The sequence below is a fragment of the Homo sapiens genome, chromosome 1 (genome assembly GCF_000001405.40).
Source record: "Homo sapiens chromosome 1, GRCh38.p14 Primary Assembly".
Lineage (NCBI taxonomy): Eukaryota > Metazoa > Chordata > Mammalia > Primates > Hominidae > Homo > Homo sapiens.
In genome coordinates, this window is record NC_000001.11 from 114,457,663 (window position 1) to 114,470,873 (window position 13,211).

Below are 13,211 nucleotides of genomic sequence, written 5' to 3' on the forward strand. Positions count from 1 at the left end.
AGGAGCTGCTGATCCTGTGATCGGATGGGTGCTACACTATAAACTACTTTCTATTAATCAGTAAAGAGCAGTTTGGTTTATGGACAATTCCAAGGTGAATGGACAGCATCTTGTTTGGAGGGCCACCACTGTGATTACAGAAGGTAAAAAATCAACTCAGCGGGCATGTGATTTTCCCCTATGTTTGGGTTTTCACGGAACTCTGCAGTTGGTGTCAGAAGTAATGGTGATCTTGTGGACTGTTTCGTAACTTTGAACAGACAATGAAGAAAGACACTGGTAAAATTCAATAATGTATGTTATACTTGCAACTGCCTTTGCAAAATTATAACAGTGAGAGAAATCTAACACAACTGACTCCACCTTGCTTCTAACCTCACAAGCTGTCTTTGCTCATTCCCATATGTGGGCCAACCTAACTATGGGAGGAATTTATTTTATAGTTTAAAGCAAGCATAATAGTTTCTTCCTGAAACTAATACCCTCCTTGTTCAGGGACTGAAACCACCTTTGTAAAGCTAATGAAAGGCTATAAGGTTAGAATTACAGTAGGAGCCTAAATTCTGCTAAGATTTAGGCATAAACAGCAACCATTGTTCCCTGTCTTGTTTTTTATAATTGCTTATTGCTCAGGAGTCACTAGCAAGTGGTCACAAGATTTCTAACTTCCCCTATAGATAAGATCACTATTGTGAAATCTAAGACTAGTGTTTGAGATATTTTTCAGACTCTGCATTCTGCTGGACTAACTGCTACCACCCAGGCTGGTGATCCATACCAAGAGACTAATTCAACTGGTCCTGTGACCCCTACTCAGGAAGTGACTCAGCATAACTCACTGCACAAAGACAGTTTTGACACCTCTATGATTTCATCCCTGACCCAAGCAATCAGCAGCACCCATTCCCTAGCCCCTGCCCACCAAACTATCCTTTAAAAACCCTCATCTCCAAATTCTCAAGGAGTTGGAATTTGAGAAATATTTCTCAAATATCTCCCATCCTCCTTGCTCAGCCACTCTGCAATTATTAAACTCTTTCTCTGCTACACCTCCTGCTGTCTCAGTGTATTGACTTTTTCTGGACAGGGAGAAAAGGAGAATCTGTCTGGGTGATAACATACTGAACACTTAAACTTTGGTTACTGTTAAGTATTTTTTTAATGGGGGCTCAACTATACGTTAGCAAAATAACCCTGGCAGCAATATAGACAGGATGAATTTAACAGAGTTAAACTCAAAGTAGGGAGAATAGTTGTAAATGTGTTGTAGTAATGGGAAGCTGGCTTTTAAGTCCAATGACATGGTTTCTGCAACAGTCCATCCAGAGAAAATAAAATGAAAGCATGAACAAAAGAGAAGAAATGTGTGATATTTTAGTATATATTTGTTCTGGTCTTTGTCCCTATTCCTGGCATACAATTCCTAAAACCCTCAGAATCTCTGAAATAAGTATATTTTTGTATGTTAACAAAATGACCAATGGCTGGGGACTCCCAGACCCATCAGGATGGGTGCTGGCTGCCAGGGGAACCAACCAGATAATTAAACAGTTGGAACTTTCAGCCCTACTTCCTAACCTAGGAAGGGAAGGGCTGAAGGCTGAGATGATCACAAACGATCAACAATTTAATCACGCATCCCTAAATAATGAATCTCCATAAAAACCTGAAAGAGCAAGGGTTGGAGAGCTTCCAGGTTACTGAACACGTGGAGGATAAGGCATCCACCACAGAGTGTTGTGGAAACTCTGTACCCCTTCCCACATACTTCACCCTATGCATCTCTTCATCCAGTTGTTCATTTGTATTCTTTAAAATATTGTTGAGCTGGGCATGGTGATATGCACCCGTAATCTCAGCTACTGGTGAGGCTGTGGCAGGAGGATCATTTGAGCCTAAGAGTTTAAATCCAGCCTGGGCGACATAGCAAGATCTAACCTCTTTTAAAAAATTAAATAAAATGTTGTCTAGTGGTACACATCTCTAGTCCCAGGTATGTGGGACACTGAAGTGGAAGAACCACTTGAGCCCAAGAGCTTGAGTCCAGCCTGAGCAACAGAGTGAGATCCCGTCTCTTCAAAAAATAAGAAAAATTCTCTCTCTCCATATATATATACAGTTAAACAAAAATTACAGGAGGACATTGTTCTGGACTAAGCTCCTGCACTAGGCCCCAACAGATCAGACTAAAAATCAAAATACAGATAGAACCAGAAGTAGCATATAGTTCTCTTCCCTTTTGTGGCCACTGCTGAAGCAAGAGTGGCCAAAATAAAGTTTAATCCCTTTGTAACTTCTGACTGAAGCAAGAACCACAAAAGGTGTTTCAATGCACCTTCCCACATTCATAGGAAGATTATGTCCTCCCCTCTTTCCTAAGAGCTAAGACAGAAGTACAACGTTCATTCCATGCCCATGCAAAAGGATGATAAATTTCAGATTGTGCGAGGACACTATAAAGGTCAGCAAACTGGCAATTTAGTCGAAGTTTGAAATATATCATCAACACTGAACAGGTGCCATGGGAAAAGGCTAATGGCACAACTGTCCACGTAGGCATTCACGCCAGCATAGTGGTTATCACTAGGTTAAAACTGGACAAAGACCGCAAAAAGATCCTTGAACAAAAAGTCAAATCTCACCAAGTAAGAAAGGAAAAGGCCAAAATACAAGGAAGAAACAATTGAGAAGATGCAGGAATAAAGTAATCTTATATACAAACTTTCATTGAAACTGTTGAAATAGAAAAAAAAAATCAAAATGGAGTCCTTCATGCTGAGTTCATCAAGCTGAAAATGAGTTATCAGACCATCCAAGAAATGAGGAGAGAGATAACACCCTAATTTCCCAAATAAGCCTGTTTCAATTGGCATGATAATGAGGCTCCCTGTGTTTAACACCCCCCGCCACCTTTTTTTTTTTTTTTTTTTTTTTTTTGGTAAACCTCTCCTACGGTGCTGATGTCTTTAATCCTTACAACAAAGGGTAACCTGAGGTAACCTGATGTTAGCCAATAAATTATTTCTCTATTGTTCTGCCCTTCTCCAGCCTTACTAGGAAAGTAACTTTGAAATGACCAATCCACTTTTTATTATTTGTTTTTGCTTTCCTCAGTCCCTCTCTCTCTATAAAACCAAGCTCCTCTGCTCAGTTCACTGAAACACTTGTTTTATTTTATGGAATGAAGTATTGCTCAAATCTAAAATCACAAATAAAACCAATTAAGATCTTTAAATTGTCGTAATTGCTGTAATTTGTAATAAATTGGCAGTAGTAAGTTAAATGCTTCCCTGAGTTCTGTGACCCATTCCAGCAAATGACCAAACTCAAGGAAGGGGTCGTGGGAACCGCCCCGCCCCACCCCCAATTTATAGTAAGTCAGTCAGAATACCAGAGGCCGGGGCCAAGCTCAGTGGCTCACATCTGTAATCCCAGCACTTTGGGAGGCTGAGGAGGGAGGACAGCCTCAGGCCAGGAGTTTGAGGCTGCAGTGAGCTATGATCATGCCACTGCATTCCAGCCTGGGTGACAGAGCAAGAACCTGTCTTTAAAAATATATATATATATATATATACATATATTTATATTTTATATTTTATATATATTATATATTTATTATTATTATATATTTATATATTATATTTTATATTTTATATATATATATTTTAAGTACCAGAAGGTGGGACTTAACGACTGGTATTTGAAGTGGAATGGCAGTTTGCAGGACTGAGCCCTTAACTTGTGGGACCTGACTCTAACTCCAGGTAGACGGCGACAGAACTGAACTGAATTTCTGGACACCAAGCTGGCGAGAATCAGTCAATATGAGGGGAAACTGGTCACACACATGGTCACAGAAGTGCTCTGTGTTGTGTGAGTATAGGAGGAGAAAAAAAACATTTTTTTTAAATTATACAAGAGATAATAAGGACTTAGATATAAGTGGTAAAGGAAAATGGTAAAAGAAAGGGAAGGATAATGGTTAAACTTTGAGGTGGCAATGCCGCTGAAGCTATTCTTTAATGAGGAAAAGTATGACATCTTCCTTTTCTTTTTGCCTCTCACCATCAACTTAAAAAGCTATAAGAAATCTAACACTCAAAAAAAGATCTGACTGCAGCTGTGAAAAAGGTAATCTAATGTCTTACTGAGACTGTTAGCAGACAATCTAAAATTTCAGCCAAGTTATAGGTTAAGACATTTCTGAACAAATTAAGAGCACAAAAATTTAATAAATATACTGTAAAGCTGTGAGAGATACCTTGAAAAAGAACAAAAAGCACTACACCTTTATATAGTCAAATTTGAGACATTCTGCATTCTATATTCTCTATACCCTATGGAAGAAAATGAGCATATGGGTTAAGAAGAGATCTGGAGTCTGACTACCTGTATTCAAATCCTGGTACTACCAATTACTATGAGACTTTGTACAGATTACTACAGCCTTTTGTGAGTAGGCTCTCTTACACTTAAAACCGTCATAATACTAGTACCTAAACCTCATGGATAGTTGGTGTGAATTAAATACATATTCAGCACTCAGAAAAGTACCTGGCACAAAGTAAGGCTGCAATAATGGTTGGCAATTGGGATTACTGTATCCCCTCTTTAAGAAGGCTCTAATAAACTTCAATGAATTCTAATGAATTAAAAACCCTAAGAAATCATATCGTTAAGAAACACATTTAAGTGTGGTTAACCCAAGTTCTCTTATACATTTTTGGCAATAGATTAATAAAATCTATTCCCATCCAGCCATAAAAACTGTTGTTTGAAAAACACTTTGGAAAATTCTGGACTATGGGTGACACCATCTTTTTACTTGTAATAAACAGATGCCATGGAAGCTGGAGAAATTTACTGAAGGATATTGTTACACAACTGACTAGAAATTTTTGTACAGTTTCCAAACCGTTCATATGAAACACACTCCTAGTAAATGAATACTACTGAATTCTGAGGGTACAAGGCTAAAATACAAAGGTATGTATTAGAGGGTCAGTAACTCTGCTTAGTTGTTCATAAATCCCTAGCTTTTCTACAAATTTTATATGTAACATGAAATCAGTGTATTTGTGATTTGATGTTTAAAAGAATACTGCTTTTGTAGATTACAGCCAAAAATACTATAGGACACCAAGAAAAAGCTTATTTGAATCACAGGAGTAGCAAACAAATGCATAATATAACTCCATTCTTGTAAACCCAAACCTACAAAATGATACATTTTAACAAACATTCATAAGACAATTAGATTTAAATGTGGAAATCTTTAAATAATTTACCAAAACATATATTGCTCAAGAAATTAAAATATGTAAAATACAGATTTAAAAGATTAAGACACAAACATATAATCAATATTTGCTTTAAGAAGAAGAATGACTTTACAAGCACTTTTTATAGTATTTCCTGGTAAGCAATTATGATTTCTGTACCTATGTTCTTTGTGTTCCAATAGCTGACAGTCTCTACATGTCAATCTATCACATGTTTCACAGAAAAGTTTCAACTGTTCTTGTTTGTGTACAGGGCAGAAAACAGGGCGTTGACCAGATGCTCCAACAGACTCTGTAGCAAAATAAAACAAATATTTTTTAACCAAACATAAAATTTTTGTCTAGTTTTCTAAATTCCTATTGATGTTGCTATCCAAAGTTTATAAAGAATAAGTAGAAAATTCTATAGGGGCAAAAGAAGGAGGTTAACTGTAATCATTGTAATGATTACAATGCATCTATCTTACCTGAGACATCTTCTTTCTTCCTGATCAAGTGATCTTTAGTAAATTTTACTCTTTGATGTGCTTCGATACATGTCTTACATAGCCACTCTCCACATTCTACACAAAAGCCAACTGCACTTGCATTGTCTTCACAACTAGTACATACCTAAAAGAAGAAATAAGCACTAATCTAAATTAAATACATAAAATCTAGATCTAAAAAAAAAAAAAAACTTGTTCTTCAATATACTATTTCACTGTACACAGAATAAAATTATTTTGTTATCCATTTATCTTCAACAAAATCCTTTTCCTTACAGATCATTCATGTAGGTAAAAATCTAAGGCTGAGAACACGAAGTCTGTGCAGATTTGACTTTTTTTTTTTTTTTTTTTGAGACAGGCTCTCGCTCTGTCACCCAGGCTGGACAGCAGTAGTGCAATCACGGCTCACTACAGCCTCAACTTCCTGGGCTCAAGCAATCCTCCAACCTCAGCCTCCCAAGTAGCTGGGACTAAAGGCGCATGCCACCACGCCCGGCTAGTACTTTTATTTTTTGTAGAGATGGAGTCTCACTATGTTGCCCAAGCTGGTCTCGAACTCCGGGGCTCAAGCAATCCTCACACCTCAGCCTCCCTAAGTGCTGCGACAACAGGCGTGAGCCACCATGCCTGGCCCAAATTTGACATTTTAAGTAATAGCTTTAGTCTCATTTAACTAAGTTTGAGAGTATATAAGAAAGCTATCTTTAACTTTCTATTTGAAACAGGAATCCATAGCAGAACCACCCTAAATGACTTAACTATCCAAACATGTTTTTCTTATAACTTACAGTTTGATATCAAGATAGGAATATAAAGAAAAATTGAGAAGCATACCTGTTCTGATTTTTCATCAGAACTGCTAGGAGCTTCAGATGTGTCTTTCACAAAATAATTATCCACAAGGTCTATCTGTCTGCATTCTTGGCGGCATACTGGGCACCGTATTACACCAACTACAACATAAAATAACAACATTTTAAAATATTCTTCAGGAATAAAGAAATTGTGCATGATGTCCATATAGAAACATTAATTCATCACAGAGAAGACCAAAGAAATGAGCATCAAGAGCTCAGTAAAATAACCCAGCGAGTTATTCCATTTGGGTAAAAGTGATACTCTATTTAGGAAAAGAAAAAACAAGCATTATGATGCCTCCCAAGAAGTGCTTCCTCATTATAATATGTGGTTAGCTGAATAATTGCCCCAAAAGAAATCCAGATCCTGATCTTCGGAAACTATGAATATTAATTTACATGGTAAAAGGGACTTTACAGATGCGATTAAGGCTCTGGAGATGGTTTGTCCAGCGGGTCCTAAACGTGATCAAGTGACCTTATCAGGGGGAGGAAGAGGAAGGTAAGACTACAGAAGAGTGGAAGGCAATTATAATAACAATGGACGCAGGGAGTAGAGTGATGCACTTTATAGATGAAGGAAGAAGCCGGAGAAAAGAAAGACAGGCAACCACTAGAAGCTGAAAGAGACAAGGAAATGGATTTTCTCCCAGAGCCACCAGAAGGACCAGTCCTGCCACCACTTTTGACTTTAGCCCAGTGAAAGGGATTTCAAACTGCTGGCCTCCATAATGGTAAAACAGTAAGACAGGTGCTGTTTTAAGACACTAAGTTTGTGGTAATTTTGTTACAGCAGCAACAGAAAACTAATATACAATCTATCATCTTATAAATTCTGACTTGGTTAGAGATACTTGAATACATGCTAATATGAGAAGAAAGATCATCTGTCCCTTCACCTGCTAGTGTTCCAGGACTTATCAGAATGGATAAACTGTTGAGGTAACACATAGAGGCTAAATAACTGAAAATAGCACCAGAGTCAACACAACAAACTGACTACATGTCAGCCATGAAATAGAGGATACAGCATAAATGACACAATCCACACCTTCAAGAAGGATTCTAGATTAGTATGTAATTTTTATAGTTTATAATGTACACAATTACAGAAAGCACCAAAGACTGGGATATAAACCAAGTCCCCATGAGTTGTGTAGTACACAAACTGTAGTACCATATATAGTCATTCTGATGGAAAATGAAAACATAAATAAAACTTATCACTCTAAAAGAAGGGTGAGGTGGCTCATGCCTGTAATCCCAACACTTTGGGAGTGGAATGATCACTTGAGCCCAGGAGTTTGAGGCCAGCCTGGACAACATAGTGAGACGCCATCTCTAATTTTAAAATAAAATAATTAAAATTAAAAAATAACTACTGTTATATATTTAAAACAAAATACTGTTCTTATTAATATTTCCTCTTTATTTTACCAAAAACATGGTATAAAAATAAATAAAAAGAGCCGGGCGCGGTGGCTCACGCCTGTAATCCCAGCACTTTGGGAGGCCGAGGCGGGCGGATCACGAGGTCAGGAGATGGAGACTATCCTGGCTAACATGGTGAAACCCCGTCTCTACTAAAAATTAAAAAAAAGTCAGCCGGGTGTGGTGGCACGCGCCTGTATTCCCAGCTACTCAGGAGGGCGAGATAGGAGAATCGCTTGAACCCGGGAGGTGGGGGTTGCAGTGAGCTGAGATCGCGCCACTGCACTCCAGCTTGGGCGACAGAGAGACTCGGTCTCAAAAAAAAAAATAAATAAATAAAAAGATCTTGGTAAAAGGAAACACACAAAAACAATTTTTCAAACCAAAGGGAGAAATAGTAAAGTGAAGAGAAAGGGGAAAAGGAAAAATATTTTCACATTTGGGAAAGCATGACTTAAAAACCTCTTGAGAAAGTGTATTATATAAAACTACAAAGAAGATAAGTATAAGTAACTGTAGAGACAAAGATATGAGAGCAACTAACTCTTCTTAGAGTAAATCAGTTAAATTTTCACCAAAAAGATAACACTTCTAATAGGGTCTTGAAGAATGAACGTGACTATACTAGTGTGCAAGAAAGGGTTTATTTGGCAGGCCTGGGTTGCTCAAATGCTGCACATTCCTTCTTAAGAAAGGCCTATCTTCAGGACTGGCCCTTTACACGTTCCTGGGAGATGACCTCTGAGCCCGTGGAAAATTCTGCCTGGTAAGAGTACTTTTGTATACCTGAGGCTTTAAGCCATACCGTGTTTGACCTCTGGGTGCACTGGTGTCCAAGTAGCTGATTACCAGTCCTGTGGGGGCTGCGTGGCAATGAGACTGATCTCCAAAACTTAGACACCAAGGCTCAGGTGAGATTCCCTACTTGGCAATACTCCCAGTGTATTGTCCCACATTGTTGCTGGGGACATCTGAAAGCATGGGTCTGCTTTCTCTTGGGCTTTGCACCATGCACCTTTTCTCTTTGCTGATTTTAATCTGTATCTTTCAACTAAATTAGGGTTTCTCCATGTTAGTCAGGCTGGCGTCGAACTCCTGACCTCAGGTGACCGATCTGCTCGCCTTGGCCTCCCAAACTGCTCGGATTACAGGCGTGAGCCACCGCACCCCGCCAGATCAGTTAACTCTTCAAGAAGTTTATATGTATAAGTGTATTTAGTCCTCATAGCAGCCCTGTAAAGTAGGTTCTATTACTATCCCCACATTAAAGGTGAAAAAATTGAGGTTCGGAGAGATTAAGAAACATTCTGAAGGTCATGTGGTGACGTAAATGCCAAGATCTGAATTCAACTAACATGTCTGTGTCTACAGCTCATGCTCTTAAGAACTATGCTAAACTATTTCTCTAATTAAAACGCTGGTCTATCAGTAACAAAAGAGACTAAACTAAGGCAGTATTAAAGGAAATGTAGAGGATAAATCAGAGTATCAATTGGACTTAATAAATGACTGTATGATGAAGGAGTACTAAGAGTTACAATGAGGAAACAAATTAGAAATTCTAGATGATTCCCAAGTTCCTGGTGTGGGTAATGCATAGATAATTACATAACTACTCAAAATGAGGAAAAAGTGTTTTAGCCAGAAATGTAATGAGTAAGTTTTGGATAGATGGTGTTTAACTAGCATATTTCTGGAGCTGAAGGGTGTGGAGGGAGCTACCAGCATGTAAATAACTCAAATGTGAAATGTAGTTATGACTGCTGAGGAAGAATATTATCAAGGACAATAACCCTTGTTACACCAATATTTACAAGTCAAGCAGAAGAAACAGAGCTCTCAAATTTAGGAGACAGCTTTCAAACATTTTCAACTGCAAACCACAGGAAGTACACTTTACATCAAAGGCCAGGACACAAATACATACCTGTCTGTGTAACTGAAACAAACACAAGTCAAACAAGGATCAACTACTTTTCCATTAACCATTTATGATTAACTTGTTACCACTGTACCAATTTACTTTTAAAATTACATAATGCGCTTAAAGTCAGCTGACTCTTAGCATGACCTAACAATCTTTTCATTTAGCCCTAGCTTCTCTTTCCAATATTCTCAAGCAGTCACACCAAAGCTTTGGTCATCAACACCACTCTCCTTTCCCTTAGAAAATAATGAAAAATTACAGATATATTTTCAGATAGAGAGGGGAGTTGAGAGAATTTATACCTACAGCCTCTAATTACTTAAGTCAGAGCCCAGTCCAAATGATAAGAGAGTCCTGTGAGTTAAGTGTTGAAAGACTGGAATGAATTATCCAAAGAATAGGAAAAAGAAGCTGGATGGAAAAAGATTGTCAAGTCGTGCCAGAAACCTCAAACTGGAGAAGTATAACCATGCCTAAGTCTAGTTCCTCTCTCCACCATGCACCTATCTCTTATTCATCTCTATTCCCACCCTATGTGCACACATTAATAAGGGGCTAGAGAGTGCAGTGGTGTGAGAGGTAACAGCAGGAGCAGCGCTGCTGCTGGGGGCTAGGGCTGATTTGTCTGACTTCCTGTCTGTGCCTAGCCCATTCGAGCTGCAGCCATGTCTGGGGATGAGATGATTTTTGATCCTACTATGACCAAGAAGTAAAATCAGCAGCAGCAGTCCTTTAGTTAGAGGAGGAAGGGGATACCCAAACAGAGGAGACCCAGCCCTTAGAAACAAAACAAGTGGCGCCAGAGCCAACTGGGGACAAAGAATTGGAAGCTGATGAAGAGAACAGTAGGGAAAAAGGTGCTTCTGATGATCTAGATGACTTGAACTTCTTTAATCAAAAGAAAAGAAAAGAAAAAAACAAAAAAGATGTTTGATACTGATGAAGCTGAAGAAGGTGTAAAGGATCTTAAGATTGAAAAAATATTCAAGAACCAGCTGAACCAGAGTATGACCTTAATATTATGCTTGGCAATAAAAAGAAGAAAAAGAAGAATGTCAAGTTCCCAGATGAGGATGAAATACTAGAGAAAGACAAAGTTCTAGAAGATGAAGACAGCAAAAAAGATGACAGTATCTCATTCAATAATCATACAGGCCCTGCTAGGGCAGTCTCAAATACACATAAGGAGCTACTGAAGCGAGTGTGCAACATCACGAGGGAAAAGAATCCAGATGTGGTTGCTGAAAAGGAAATCTGTCATCAAACCTCTACAGGTCATTTGAGTAGGAACCAAGAAAACTTATTTTGTCAACTTTACAGATATTTGTAAACTATTACATCATCAGCCCAAACATCTTGCATTTTTGTTGGCTGAACTGGGTACAAGTGGTTCTATAGATGGTAATAACCAATTTGTAATCAAAGAAGATTCCAACAGAAACAGAAAAAGTCTTCAGAAGATATATTAAGGAATACTTTTCACACATGCTGATCACTGGACACACACCTGCAGAAGAGACTCAACTCTACTTCTTACAGTGAGCAACTTATTGTTGATAATCTGTTGCAAGTACAAAACCAGTTTCCAGACTGTCATGGGCAAGCAAGCACAGCTCCGTGCCAAAGCTGACTAATTTGCTAATCACTGATTTTACAACGTGTGTTGTGGAGATTTGGCGGGACAGGTTTGTCATCAGAATGGATATACTGTTGTATTAAAAAAACAAGATTAAAAAGCTGCCAAGTTCTTTGATGAGTGGTCAGTTGGTCTGAAATTCTTGCAAGATGCCGCTGTTCAAACTGTTGACATAATCATGGCCTCTTCTCTCTCTGTCAGAGAGATGTGATATGGGGTAAGGAAGTGTTTTTCAAAATTGTTCACTGGCATCTGTAAGATAATTTAGTTCTTATAACAGAGCAAGAAAATCAAATTTAAAAAATAGAGACCTAGAAAGCAATATGTATTTGCCAAAAAGGAATGATGGCAAAAAAACAATAATTATGTTCTGGAGCAACAGGTCACTGATCTTTACTAAAGAAATTTTATAGCAATGGAGGTAGCGGCAGACAGACATTAGCATGAGCGTGGGGAACTGAAGATGTGAAATGCTGAATATGTTGCCCACTCTTACAAAAAACTTGGCAATGAAGAAAAGAGACAAAATGACCTGTCAATAGAGGGAGAATAAAGAAGAATGCTGCTTTATACAGGGAAAACTTGGAGATATGATACAGAAAGTAACTGAAATAATTTATAATAAAAATGGCTTAAATCCTATAAAATAATATCATAGAGTAACATATATTTAGATAATGTCAGTAAGTATTTCCAAAGTTAATTTTATCACTTAAGAATGAAGCTGGCTTAAGGTGAAGTCATAGTCATATATGGCCACATATGTGCACATACAATCATATACGAAGAACACTAATATCTTATAATAAACTAAGTATAACTAATATCTATTATCATAAAGCTTGTTGGTATTCTTAGGGCTTCTTATATTCTTGAAGTTATACAGGAATATCTTGTTTTACTGCATTTAGCTTTATACTGCTTCACAGATGCTGAGCTTTTATAAATTGAAGGTTTGTGGCAACCCTGCATTAACCAAATTAGTAGACGCCATTTTTCCCACAATGTGTGCTCACTGTGCGTCTTTCTGTTACATTTTGTTAATTTTTGCAATATTCCTAACTTATAAATTATTATTTATCTATTATGGTGACCTGTGAGTTCTGATCTTTCATGTTACTACTGTAATTGTTTTGAGGCCCCACAAACTGCGCCCAATGAAAACAGCAAACTTAATCAATAAATGTATTCTGACTGCTTCACTGACTGGCCACTCCCTGTCTCTCTCCCTTTCTCAGGCCACCCTAATGCCTGAGACCAAACAATATTGAAATTAGGCCAATAAATAACCCTGCAATGGCCTCAAAGTGTCCAACTGAAAAGAAGAATCGATTCAGCATGACTTGGTCAATAACAACAACAACAACAACAACAACAAGTCAAACATCTCCTACATTAAATTTTAAAAAGCTAGAAATTGTTAAGCTTAGTGAGAAGGCATATCAAAAGCCAAGACAGGCCAATGCTAGGCCTCTTGCGCCAGTTAGCCTAGTTGTGAATGCAAAGGAAAAGTTTTGTGTTTTGTTTTGTTTGAGATAGGGTCTTGCTCTATGGCCCAGGCTGGAGTGCAATGGCATGAACACTGCT

At 38.0% G+C, this 13,211-nt stretch overlaps 1 protein-coding gene and 2 pseudogenes across 7 annotated transcripts in view, besides 1 other annotated feature; 2 read left to right on the top strand and 1 right to left on the bottom strand.

The window, feature by feature from the left end:
- TRIM33 (tripartite motif containing 33) overlaps positions 1-13,211 on the bottom strand; it is a 118,414-nt gene that overhangs the window by 64,873 nt on the left and 40,330 nt on the right. For all 7 annotated transcript variants that reach the window (NM_033020.3, NM_015906.4, XM_047422512.1 and 4 more), the window contains exons 2-4: positions 6,608-6,726; positions 5,750-5,894; positions 5,442-5,574 (exon numbers count right to left, since the gene is read on the bottom strand). In NM_033020.3, coding sequence (NP_148980.2) covers positions 5,442-5,574; positions 5,750-5,894; positions 6,608-6,726 — 397 coding nt within the window. The remainder of the gene's footprint in view (positions 1-5,441; positions 5,575-5,749; positions 5,895-6,607; positions 6,727-13,211) is intronic.
- Positions 645-939: an enhancer, noted in NCBI's record as "tiled region #2597; HepG2 Activating DNase matched - State 5:Enh, and K562 Activating DNase unmatched - State 14:Gen5'". NCBI's record gives its function as "activates a minimal TATA promoter and a strong SV40 promoter by Sharpr-MPRA in HepG2 and K562 cells {active_cell/tissue: HepG2 | K562}" and the evidence as "EXISTENCE:reporter gene assay evidence [ECO:0000049][PMID:27701403]".
- On the top strand, positions 2,230-2,742 carry RPL26P10 (ribosomal protein L26 pseudogene 10; annotated as a pseudogene).
- Positions 10,543-11,904, top strand: EIF2S2P5 (eukaryotic translation initiation factor 2 subunit 2 beta pseudogene 5; annotated as a pseudogene).